The 13,416-nt window shown below is 40.5% G+C and overlaps 1 protein-coding gene across 11 annotated transcripts in view; it reads left to right on the top strand.

The window, feature by feature from the left end:
• The window catches only part of EIF4E3 (eukaryotic translation initiation factor 4E family member 3), a 95,411-nt gene that overhangs the window by 52,813 nt on the left and 29,182 nt on the right, over positions 1-13,416 (top strand). For 9 of the 11 annotated variants that reach the window (XM_047448060.1, NM_173359.5, NM_001134649.3 and 6 more), the window contains 4 exons: positions 2,253-2,347; positions 5,441-5,501; positions 8,020-8,086; positions 11,796-11,951. In XM_047448060.1, the coding sequence (XP_047304016.1) occupies positions 2,253-2,347; positions 5,441-5,501; positions 8,020-8,086; positions 11,796-11,951 (379 nt within the window). The remainder of the gene's footprint in view (positions 1-2,252; positions 2,348-5,440; positions 5,502-8,019; positions 8,087-11,795; positions 11,952-13,416) is intronic. The other 2 variants (XM_047448061.1, XM_011533651.4) reach the window with 1 other exon arrangement.

Here is a 13,416-nt window from a genome sequence, read left to right as displayed (position 1 = left end):
TAGCAAAGCATTTACAGGATAGGTACCTCCATAGAGGCAGATGGGTGTTTGAGGAGCTACTGTTAATACAGTAGCTTTTAACTCCTCACTACACTAGCACCATTTTAGTAGAAGGGAGCCAAAGTGGATTCTCAATTAATACATCTGTCATCCTGTAGTTTTTTGCCTTCAATTTGATCTTATAGTTCATCATTGCCACCTTTGCAGTTAATTCAGCTTTATTATTTTTTTAACACAAAACAGGCTTGAACAACCCAGCAGGATTATCATTCAACATAGCTAAAATTCTATTCCACCCATGTGACTCAGTTCATGAGCCCTAGGATTGATTTTTCTAATTGCTATTTTACTCGTGCTGCTTTCCTCAGACCTACTGGGAGACCCAGATGATCACCCTATGCTTACCTCACCACACAGAACAATATTTCTTATTTGCACAGTAATTCTGTGGATAGCATTCATAGCGTAGTAATTCTATGACCTACTCCAAACAAATGGGGAAGTGTTTTCTTCTTCATAGCCTCAATCCTCATCCTAATCCTAATGGTCATACCAAACTGACTCTTGGGCAGGTTCGTCTCTGCCTGGTGTCCTTATCTTTAAAAAAAGGATAATAATCATACCTCCTCCTAAGAGTGTCATTAGGATAAATTGCATAAACATGTAAATGTTCATAGAACAAAGCCTGGCTCAGAGAACAGCTCCAGATCACTTGTCTTTGCCAAGACTTCCTGTTTTACTATTACTTTATTATTTTTGTATAATCTATTTCTGTTTACCAGTTGCCCTGTGTCTTAGTTCAGGCTACTATAACCAAATACCATAGACTGGGCAGTTTATGCAACAAACCCTTGTTTCTCACAGTTCTGGAGCCTGGAAGTCTGAGATGAGGGTGCGAGCATGGGCACATCCAGGTGAGGGCCCTCTTCCTCGTTTGTACATGGCCATCCTCTCCTTGTATCTTCACATGCCAGAGGGAGGGCTGGCTCTCTTCATCTTCTCATAAGGACACCAAGCCTGTCATGGTGACTATACCCTCATGACCTGATTACCTCCCAGGGGCCCCACCTGCTAACACCATCCTATTGGTAGTTAGGGTTTCAGCATATGAATCTGGGGAAGACACAGATGTGCAGTCCGTAACACTGTGTATCTTGCGCAGCTTGTTGTTTCAGCACCTGAGCTGTTCCCTCTTCCTTTAGCAGGGGAGAGATAAGGGGCAAACAGAGTGTCTAAGGTAGTTTCTCTTTGCCATCTCCTTTATCCCACAACCCCCAAGCCATAGCATCACAGACTTCTTCCAGGCTTGTAGAGAAGACAGGGTTGATTTTTTTTTTTTTTTTTTTTTAAACGGAGTCTCGCCCTGTTGCCCAGGCTGGAGTGCAATGGTGTGATCTCGGCTCACTGCAACCTCCGCCTCCCAGGTTCAAGTGATTCTCCTGCCTCAGCCTCCCGAGTAGCTGGGATTATAGGCGTCTGGCACCACGCCTGGCTAATTTTTTGTATTTTTAGTAGAGATGGGGTTTCACCATGTTGAAGACAGGGTCTATTGTAACAAAATAGTTATAAATATGTTCAGTACATATATTCAGTACTAAAGGCTTTAGTGGATACTACCTAGCTGCCAGAAAAATCATTAGCAAAGTCCTTTCCAGTTTTATGTGTAGACATGTTGCATAGGAATGTTTGCTTAATAACCATAGCTTCCTGAAACATAGAGCTTGGCACAGCATCAGCAAGGAACATCTTTTCTTCTTGTTGTTGTGTTTTTGTTTTTGTTTTTTTGAGGCAGGGGCTCACTCCTGTTGCCCAAGTTGGAATACAGTGGTGCGATCTTGGCTCACTTGCAGCCTCGACTTCCCAGGCTCAAGCTATTCTCCCACCTCAACCTCCTAGGTAGTTGGGACTACAGGCATGTGTCACCATGCCCAGCTAATTTTTTGTATTTTTTGTAGAGATGGGATCTTGCCACATTGCCCAGGTTGGTCTCGAACTCCTGGGCTCAAGTGATCCGCTTGCCTTGGCCTCCCAAAGTGCTGGGATTTACAGGCATGAGCCACCAAGCCCAGCATTCTTTAATGTTATATTACATTTTCTAACAGAGAATTAGAAGGGATACTGAGAAAAATCTATTTTGAATGGATAAAACAATGAGAATCAAAATTTTTCTTTAATGCATTAATTTGATAATCTAGCAGCATAATAAATCAATACTGGGTATATTAAACAAAGTGTTTGTTTTTCTTTTAAAGATATTTTGGAGTGTATACAATAATATCCCTCCTGTGACTAGCCTGCCTTTGAGATGTAGTTATCATTTAATGAGAGGAGAGAGGCGACCACTTTGGTAAGTGTCTAACGTGTAATTTAAGGTCAAGGTGGGAGGAAAATGTTTGTGAACCTCATAAAAGATCATATCACCTGAGATGTGTGTCTCACATGGACAACATAGAAAGTCTGTGATACCAATCATGGCCCAGGGTCTGGGGGTAAGTGTCCTCCTTCTTTAATAGCTTGATGTAGTGATGAAGATGGACAGTAAGTTAGTTTGCCCAGGCTGGAGTCCCAGTTAGTAATAAATCCTTATGTCATGTCATTCAGTCTTTCTGCATTATTTACTCATTAATAAAATGGAAATGTACCTCATCTTGATTAGTAGCAAATGACAGAAACCTAATTTGTTTTTGTGGGGTTTTTTTTGTTGTTGTTGTTGTTTGGTTGGTTTCTTTTTTTTGAGACCAGGTCTCACTCTGTCACCAAGGCTGGAGTGCAGTGGCACCATCACGGCTCACCACAGCCTTGACCTCCCAGGCTCAGGTGAACCTCCCACCTCAGCCTCCCAAGTAGCTGAGACTACAGGTGTGTGCCACCACCCCCAACTAATTTTTTATTTTTTATTTTTGGTAGAGATGGGATTTCACCTTGTTGCCCAGGCTGGTCTTGAACTCCTGGGCTCCAGCAATGTGCCCACCTCAGCCTTCTAAAGTGCTGGGATTACAGGCATGAGCCACCAGGCCCAGCCACCAGAAATGTAATTTGAGCAAAAAAATTGAGTATGTTTTTAACCTGTGACTGGGAAGTTCACTGGTAGGGGTAGTTTCTGGCAGATCCAGCTCATGTTATCAGGAATCTGATGGTCCCCACCAGAATTACTCTGCTTCATTCTACATTGGTTTAATTTTCTCCCATCTGAGGTGGCAAAGTGGCCTTCCTATGCTCTGGTCTTACACCCTGTAAGTTTACCATTGTCAGTACTCACGAGCCCAGATAAAATCCCAGGTCTGGGTCTCATTCTCCCACTTTGAGTCCCCTTTCAATTTCTGGCCAATCACAAAGACTAGGAAGAGGCAGTGCTCTCATAGGCTAGCCTGGGTCAGAAGCCCATCTTTGAAGCTAGGACGTGGAGTCAACCCTGCCTGAGTGGATCTCACAGAAGAGTAGGGGGCAAGTGGCTCTTTAGAGGGAAACTGGGATGCTCTTACCAGAAAGGGAGCAGATGTTAAGCAGTGACACACAGCAGATGTCCCCCACAGGGACACCTATGAGGCCTTGATACATGGTTGATAGGAGAATCACATGAGATCGTGTCATGACCATGACATTGAAGTGTAAGGGCCTTCCCTTGTGGCAGCTGTATTTGTTGTCCATCCCCAGAGTCAAGCGAGCCTCTCTGCACTAGTGCTTTGAGGATGAGGATCTCAAGTCCTTTCACCCTCCCTGCCCATGTAGCCACTGAACGCCACTTTCTTCCCTCTCAATCGCTAGCTCCTTCCTTTTTCATTAATCTGCTTCTGTATCCAACAAAAGGACTGGGGAAGTGTTTATTGAAAAATGCCCAATCTTACCCCCGTTAAAATGGCTTTTATCCAAAAGACAGGTAATAATGAATGCTGGTGAGGGTGTGGAGAAAGGGGAGCCCTCGTACACTGTTGGTGGAAATGTAGATTAGCACAGCCAACTATGGAGAACAGTATGGAGGTTCCTCAAAAGACTAAACATAGGACTGTTAGTGATTCAGCAGTCCCACTGCCAGATATATACCCCAAAGAAAGGAAATCAGTATGTCGAAGAGATGTCTACACTTCCATGTTTATTGTAGTACCATTCACAAGAGCCAAGATATGGAATCAACCTAAGTGTCCATCAACAGATGAATGACTAAAGAAAATATGGTACATGTACACCATGGAATAGTATTCAGCCATCAAAAAAATGAAATTCTGCCATTTGCAACAACATGGATGGAATTGGAGAACATTATATTAAGTGAGATAAACCAGACATGGAAAGACAGATACCTCATGCTGTCATTCATATGTAGGAGCTTAAAAAAAAAAAACCCTGAACTGATGGAGAAAGAGAGTAGAATGACGGTTACCAGAGCTGGGAAGTTGTGGGGGTGATAAACAGGGGATGGTTAATGGGTACAAAAATACAGTTAGAATGAATGAGGTCTTGGAGCACAATAGGGTAACTATAGTTAACAATAATTTATTATGTATTTTGAAATAACTAAAAGAGTAGAATTGGAATGTTCCTAACACAAGGAAATGATAAAGACTCGAGGTGATGGATAGATAGCCTAAATACCCTGATTCAGTCATTACGCCTTGTATGCATGTATCAAAATATCACATGTAGGCCAGATATGGTGGCTCATGCCTGTAATCCCAGCACTTTGGGAGGCCAAGGTGGGAGGATTGCTTGAGGCCAGGAGTTCAAGACGAGCCTGAGCAGCAAAGTGAGAGAGACCCTGTCTCTAAAAAAAATTTTAAAAATTAGCCAGGTGTGATGGCACATGCCTGTAATCCCAGCTACTTGGGAGGCTGAGGGCGGAGGATTGCTTGAGCCCAGGAGTTCAAGGCTACAGTGAGCTACGATCATGCCACTGCACTCCAGCCTGGGTGACAGAGTGAGACCTAGTCTTTAAAAAAAAATTCAGGGGCCGGGTGCGGTGGCTTACGTCTGTAATCCCAGCGCTTTGGGAGGCCGAGACCGGTGGATCACGAGGTGGGGAGATCGAGACCATCCTGGCTAACACAGTGAAATCCCGTCTCTACTAAAAATACAAAAAAAATTTAGCTGGACTTGGTGGCGGACGCCTGTAGTCCCAGCTACTTGGGAGGCTGAGGCAGGAGAATGGCGTGAACCCGGGAGGCAGAGCTTGCAGTGAGCCGAGATGGCGCCACTGCACTCCAGCCTGGGTGACAGAGCGAGCCTGTCTCAAAAAAAAAAAAAAAATTCAGATATACCCCATAAATATGTGCAACTATTATGTGTCCATAATAAAAAATAAAAAACAAAAATAAGAAAAATGCCCAACTATTTTGTTTTTAAGGTCATCTGTTGTTAAACTAAATGTATGAAGAGATATTTAATCTAACTGTATGTAGAATCACTTAGTCCTGAGTGTAACTTTAAACGTTGGTCTTTGGCCCAGGGAAGAGGAGAGTAATGCAAAGGGTGGCGTATGGAAGATGAAAGTCCCCAAGGACAGCACGGTAGGTTCCTACTGATCCTCTTCTAGAACCGGCGAGGCTTGGAGTTGTTGACTGCCTGTCATCAGCATTTTGTGCTTTGCAGATAGCCTATTTACCTGGCAGTCCCCAAACAGGCTGGGGGTGAGAAATTCTGTTCTGACCTTGATGATTTTCTGCCTTTCACTGTCACCTTGAAAGTGTATAATTGTGCTTCTCTATAGACGTGGTGTAGTATGTGACTGTATCATGCAGTCTGCAGGAGTAAATGCCTGTGAACTTCACAGAAAAGCTGGGTGAATGTCTTTATGGTGGTCATTCCCTTGACAGCCATGACCAACATGTTGCATATGGTTTTACAAAGTCGGAAGCAGGATCTTTCCTTCCAAAGGCTCTTCCCTCCTCTACAGGGGGAACAAAAGCAGTTCTGAGAATGACCATGTCACAGAGAATAGGGAGGCTTGGCATTTCACTATCCTTTGGGGTTTCATGAGAGACTATGCTCCATCTCCCTCTGGGGCCGATGAGAACCTGGATGGTGTGATGACCTGGTGGGATGCTGGTTTGCAGTGATCAAGTCTCAGAAACCCAGATTTCCCAGAGTGAGCTCTAATTCATCTTATTGACTGGAAATGAACGTGAACATTAAAATCGGTTATCTTAAGCCCTGGGAAACTAAAAAGCTTCTTTGAAAATGGACAAAGGGGAAGTGCTAGGCAGTTTTACCTTTTCATGGTTTCTTTCATGTGGATAAGCTCAAAGAACTGAAATGTCTCCAGGGACCCATATGCTTGAGCTGGAGTCATTTTACTATAAGAACATACCTAAAGACACGACCAGATTTATTTGTCAAAGGTGCAAACTATTAGTCAAGATTTGAAGCTCCAACATTTTACTGTTATTTGGCATACATAATGAAAAATATCAGGGCAGCAGAGAATATAAGAGAATGAGGGAATATAAGGTGTTCTTAAAATTTCACTATGAACACTTTTTGCCTTTCCATGTTCTTTATTTACTCACTTTATTTACTAGACTTTGAACTCTAGTAGAAGTAATCATGATGTCAACATTCCTTGAAAAGCGGCTGAAAGGCAGTTTTGTCCTCTCCTTGTTAGCTCACTTGGCTGCGTTGGGTCACAAATAATAACGCTTTCATATCCGTGCAAATGCCCTCATCCCAGGCAGTTTAGCCTACTTTTCATCATCAACCAGTGGGAGTCTTGTGGGCCAATCCTGTCTGAATTCAAAGCAGAAGGGTGAAGTCTCCCTTCCCCTAACAGCCTCTCGCAGCTCTCAACTTCATCAGTAACAGCTTGAAGGAGTGTAGCTGGACAGATAGAAAACGGAAGCAATGATTCCTAGGTGGGAGACTCATAGACCAGAAGGGACAGGCTAGGAAAGAGAAAAGAAAAGAATGAAAGGTCACTTTTCAGTTCCCTGGCTAACTGCCATGGCCTTGGTTAAAGATTCAGCGAGACTGCTTTAAGCTTGTGAGGACATAATAATACACACTATTATTATAGTTAATATGTATTGAGCACTTGGAATGTAGCAAACACACAGCTGTTTATGGCATGGATCTTAAATGTTAAGCCCTTTTATTGCAGTCATTGTACTAAGCCCTTTGTGCACACTTGTTGACTAATTTCATACCCACAACAGCCCTGGAAGGTCGGACCTATTATTATTTCCTTGTTCACCTAAAGAAACTGATGACCAGAGAGGTTGTTAACCCATCTGGTTTGCAGATAGCAAGCAGCCTCTAAGGATTCAAACCTAGTTTGGGGGCAATTTGGAGCCTGTGAATCACAGGAAGGAGGATAAATGGGACCAAGAACTTTTCAAAGGAAGTAATGTGTGTGGAAATAATGTAGCTGTCTATTGGATGCCACTATTAGATCATGAGGAGAAAGAAACTCCAGTATTTCTCATTGGTAGGAGGCAGACCGGAGCGTGCACTGAATCTTCCAGGGAAATTACATACATTCTTACATAAAGTTCTATCGCCTGCCATAAACAGTCTGCCTCAAATGAATGGAATTTCCCAAGACTCTAGTATTAAATAAACAAGAAATGTCCTTAAGTGTTCTTTACTTGTGTAACCTTTTAAGTACCTTATAAGTAGTAAGAAAAACAGAGAAAGGATTTTGAAGAGAAAGATTTTACTAATAGCATCCACATATAATCAGCTTCTATGTTTTGAATCAGTGAGAGGTAAAGAAATTTGAAAGTTTTAAGTCATTTGAATGCATTTTCCCTAGAAATTCTTCTGAATTTCACCAGGGGTTTCACTAGAGATTAGCTTTTACCAGACTTTGGCTCACTTGTATCTGTGTAAAGTTATTTGTAAACCAATGAAAAATATGCCACGGTGATAAGTGTTTGCACCTAGGATTTGGAGGTGTCTGTGGACTCCAAGTATGGGCACAGAAAGTGCATGTGAAGTTGAAGAAAACATAATTTGTTTAGCTCCTGAGGATAATTGTCTAAAAATATCTGTATTTTGTTTGTTTTGTTTTTTATTCTTTTCCCATATCAGTCCACAGTTTGGAAAGAGTTGCTGTTAGCAACCATCGGGGAACAGTTCACAGACTGTGCCGCAGCAGGTAAAGCAGCCCACGGCTCCGGCCGGCCCTGCCTCGTGTGCTCCTGGCTTGTGCTTGTTTCTTGCAGCAGCTTGTTATCACGTGTTTGACTTTTTACATGTTTTGAAGTTGTTTATTTTGGAACTACAAAGTTACTCAATTTTTTTTCATGTGATTTTCGTGTTCAGTGTTAGATATGTGTGTCTGTGTCCATATGCATATTTACATATGTGCATATTTATATATGTATGTATATATTCATGTATATTTTTCCCTCTTAGCTTAATTTAATAGTATCTATAACCATCTGTCCAAAATAAATAGGCAGAAAAGAAAAATCTCACATTAACTGGGCCCTTAACACAATTGGTAGTAGGTTCCATTATCTGTTCCAGTTCTTCCAGAAGGGGAAAGTGTCTTCAGTGTCTAGTGAAGTTTTTAGGTGGACAGGCACAATCCTCTCTGTCCCTCTCAACCCCTAACCCCTTCGTCTTGTTCTCTCTGTCCCCTGCTCAAAGAGGACTAGAGTGGTCGGTGGGGACATGCTCACCATTATATCCTGTGATCTCACAGTGGAGGATAAGACAGAAGTTCTTCAGGGCTTTTCTTTGGAGACCATTTTCAAATACCCAGGGTATTTCTGAGAGCAAAACAAAAAGCTTTTGTTTTGCTTTGTGTTTATCATGAACCCATTCAAAGAGCAGAATTTAATTGCTTGTTTAAAGTTTTGTTTTCTTTTGGGGTAGTTCCTTCTGAATGCTCCTGAAGTAACATTTAGAATACTATTTTTCTTCCCCAGCTTTCAGTTAAGTTTTTCTTTTTAGCTAATGACAATGATCAGTTGTCCCTCAGATGTCTTAGATGGGGCCGTGTTTGAGAGCCCTGTAGGCCTTGCCAGTCCCAGGGCACATTTCAGATTCATCTCGTGAGCAGTTCCAATCATTCCACTTCTGTTTTGCTTACTTCTTACACCACTTTTTATTCAGTTAAGATAAAACCTGCGCTGGGCGTGGTGGCCCATGACTGTAATCCCAGCACTTTGGGAGGCCAAGATGGGAGGATCACTTGAGGCCAGGAGTTCAAAACCACCCTACGTAACATAGAGAGACCCTTGTCTCTACAAAAAATGCAAAAATTAGCTGGGCATAGTGACATACACCCATAGCCCCAGCAACTTTGGAGGCTGCAGTGGGAGGATCACTTGAGCCCAGGAGATAGAGGCTGCAATGAGCTATGATCGCTATTGTACTGCAGCCTGGGTGACAGAGTGAGACCCTGTTTCAAAAAAAAAAAAAAAGAAGACCTGGGTTAAGATAAATTTGTCTATAAGTACAGATTCCTTCTGTTTTAATAGGGAGTATTTAGCAACTTGATAATATACAGCCAAAAATGTATCCTGTGTATAATTATAAACACATAAATCCCTGGGAGAGGAAGTTTTCTGCATGAATTATTCCTGTTTCCAGAACCAGGGAAAAATAGTCTAAGTGGTAATAAATAGCCAGTATTGAGTAAAGAAGACCAATTGTTTTGTGGTTGACTTGGGACATGAGCGCACCATTAACTATTAACCATTAGCTCTTCCATTAACTAGCTATGACACTTTAAGCAAGTCAGCTAATCTCTCTGGGCCTCACTCCCCTCATCTTTAAGCAGTGGCTCCTCCCAGCTCTAATGTCTTATGCTGCCAGTACCCTAAAATAATCAAGGTTTTGCTGGTTGATTCTACTTATGAATATTACATGTTTGCTAATGGATCTGCCTTTGGATAAGAGTTGCAGCCTTTTTTTACCGAGCCATTTGTGAAAGTGCTGTGCTAGTAACTGTGCCTGGTTACCAAGAGCCAAACCAAACTGAAATATTGACAGTTCGGCATCCATCAGTTACATTACGCTTTGACCAATAGGGTAGAAATGGGCAACACCAAAAGACTGGAGACATGAACATTTCCCCAAAAGGGTGATGTGACTTCATGGCCACTCTTGAAAGTGGTAAACTGCAAAGCTTCTCTTTTTATTTGATGATTTTTATTTTCACATAAAATATAACATTGATCTCTGGCAAGATTATTTTTAAAGTGTAAATTAGAAAGTAAAGAATCTGTATCTAAAAATATTTTCTTGATGGGATAATAAGTTTCTGTGAATGGCCATGACAAGGTACTATGTTTTTTGACTCTTTTGTTTAAATGTGGCATATATACAGAAGATTGCACACGTCGTATGTGTACAGTTTGATAAATATTCACAAAGTAAGCATACAACTGTAACTAGCATCCAGATGTACAAGCAGGACATTACCAGCCCGCCAGGATCCCCCCTGCTCTCTTTCCTTCCTTCAAAGGTAACCTCCAGTCTAACTTCTAACATTATAGGCTAATTTTCCCTGGTTTTGAGTATTTACGTAAGTGGACTCATTTTTAGTGTCAAGTCATACACATTTAGCCAGGATCAAATTCATTTTAAAAAAGAAAAGAAGGAAGAGGGGGAGAAAGAGAAGGGAAGAATGGAGAAAAGAAAGGAATTACTTTACTGCCGATTATTTCTTTTAGTAAATTGGATATGTTTTTATTTAAATTATATCCTAATACTAAAATGTTTTAACTTCCAGAAGACAATTGGAAAAACTGATGGCATGAATATTTAGATTTACAGAGGCCAGCAAATTAGGCAGAGCATACTAACTAAAGCAAAATTTTCTCATATTGATAATGCTTATCTCTCACGTATTACATATTGATACTGTTTATGAAAGTGCAGAGAGCTGACCGTATTGCATTACCGTGTCATGAACAAGGAAACAAAGAATCAAAAGTTTGTATTCCTTTCATTTTGCTGCAAATTTATGTAAACAAAGTGGCTGCAAGGGAGGATAAAACAGTATAACACCTTACTATCCATCCGCCGTTCTCAACTATGTGCAAGACAGCCCTAATCTGGAATTTTGTTTTTTAAAAAAAGTCCACCTTAATCAATGTGGATAAATGCCTTAACGTTCATTCATTGAAGGACGATCCTATAATAGCAGAGCTGTACTCAGAAGATTTTACTCTCACTCTATACACAGTGCTAACAGATGGTCATTGGCTCTCTAGCCCACAGTATATAATGCCCAAAACCAGAAAAGGGATTTCTAGAGGGAGGCATCAGGAAGCAGGAAGAATTCATAGGAAAGGAGCAGACAAGTAAACCGCAGAAAGCAGATGAGCAGTCGAGAATGCACAATCTGGCTCCAGTTCGTGTTGGGGCAGATAGCGCTGACCACTCCAAGGTCCCTGAAAGCTTGGCAGGAAGTCAGGAGAAATTCTTGCTCTCCTTAACAAAGACAGCAAGGCATCAAGGAAAAGTTCATTTCAGTTCACTTGGCTTTCAGAGGGCAGGGAATTATGCAACCCATTTTAGAAAAAGTCTCATCAAAACAGAGTAAGAAATAGTCACAAAGCTTTGGTAATGTTAAAAAGGGTAAATTACTTATCTGGAAAATGCATTTGGCTGGAACACTTTATCTAAGTCCCTGGATAAATGTGATGTGACTGCTACAGCTTTTGTGCACTGACTTGCTTTCCTCCAGTGATTCCCCATAGAAACAATTATTTCTTACAAGTTATCTTGTGCCACCTTCTTTTTTCCATCTTATCCTTAATTTTCAGATAAAAAGACTAAGTTCTTAGAAACAGTCAGACTGACTTGGAAGTATCACTCATTTTTTTTTTTTCCTGTCTTCCCCTCAGATGATGAAGTAATAGGAGTTAGTGTCAGTGTTCGGGACCGAGAAGACGTCGTCCAAGTCTGGAATGTAAATGCCTCTTTAGTGGGTGAAGCGACTGTTTTAGAAAAGATCTATGAACTTCTGCCCCACATAACTTTTAAAGCAGTATTTTATAAACGTAAGTGCTTCATTTCCAGTTATTACTTTCTAGCTTACTCTATCATACTTTTAAAGATAGAAACTGTTTTGCAAATGTGGTGAAGGCAGATTTACTTGAAATTTGATAATTCAGAAAATAATTCAACAAAATACATTTAAGTTTTTTTTTTTTTTAAAAAAAACAAGCTTAGTCTCAGAAATTAAAGTAAGATTTTATTCTTGCCTAACTGCGTGGATCAGAAAACGAAATAACAAATATTGTATTTGTTATTTCAAAAATTTGTACCTGAACTCAAATTTGTAATTCTCAGAAAAAAAATTACATTCTATTGGAAACAACAATAACAAAAATGTCATTATATGAACTGGCAGGTAGATATTCAATCATCCCTTCATAAACAGGAATTTATAATGTATAACATCTGTATTTGCAGAAGAAATGCATTCTGAGCACAGGCGTGATTGAATGTTCTACTGAAATGCTAATACTTCCTCATTATGAATGACTATGACACAGAACTGAGGGAGAATTCACGCCTAGTGGTGAAATGTTAACAGTATGAATAGGTGTGTGGACCCATTGTTTTCCATCATGATTCATTTTCATTGCTTTTGTGTGCTCTTTTGAAAAAGTCTTCTTTTTCATAATGAAAACATCTTAGTGCTATTAAACCAATGTTTGGTAGATCAGACTGCAGGTCACACATTTAACAGAGTTAGAGAAAAGGACGACAGCCCTACACATGTATGATAAATTTCCTATATCCAAAACTGTTCCTGGAGTCAGTAACCCATTTTTTAACTACCGTATTTCATTGAATCTAAGATGCTCTTGAAGATAAAATGCTCCATTATTTTAGTATTACTGAAAAAGAAAAATAAAAGGCTCCCAATTAAACTGTAACACATTATTGGTACCAGAGGTCTTCAAATATATGTGTGGTAGTTGTGAGGAGTGCGTCTTAGAATTGCTGAAATACATTTCATTATTGCTTCACTTTTTCCAACTCTTTGCCAAAAAAGGATAAAAAAATCAAATTTTGTTTTGTGAGTATCCTAGTATGACAGGGGATATTAACACTAAGGCCTCCCTGTAAGGAATCATATAATTACAGGCCAAATGACCTAGATGTTAAGCAGTGGGACTGATCTGGCACTACAGATATTCTGAATTTTAAATGGAAGTTTAAAAGAGACAGAAAAATGGCACTGCAGAAGTTGCTTATTGGCTGCGTGGTGTAGAAGTTGCCAATTTGCCGATGCCATTTTTATTCTTTAGGGATACTTTAATTGTATTTTCACCCCAGATATTAATTGAAAGGTCATCAAGGGTTTTTTCTTTTTTTTTATTTCACAAGACTAGCAGAAACTCTATAGACGGAAGTGTATTTCATTGGCATTTATGTATGGGGCTAAAACATTTTTTCCCACCTTTGAACCAGCTCCACACTTGACTCTAAAGAGGAGAACACCAATTTGGGGTC

Source organism: Homo sapiens, chromosome 3 (genome assembly GCF_000001405.40).
Source record: "Homo sapiens chromosome 3, GRCh38.p14 Primary Assembly".
In the NCBI taxonomy this organism is placed as follows: Eukaryota; Metazoa; Chordata; class Mammalia; order Primates; family Hominidae; genus Homo; species Homo sapiens.
Note: the sequence above shows the minus strand (reverse complement) of the source record. Positions and strands in the feature narration are given on the sequence as shown.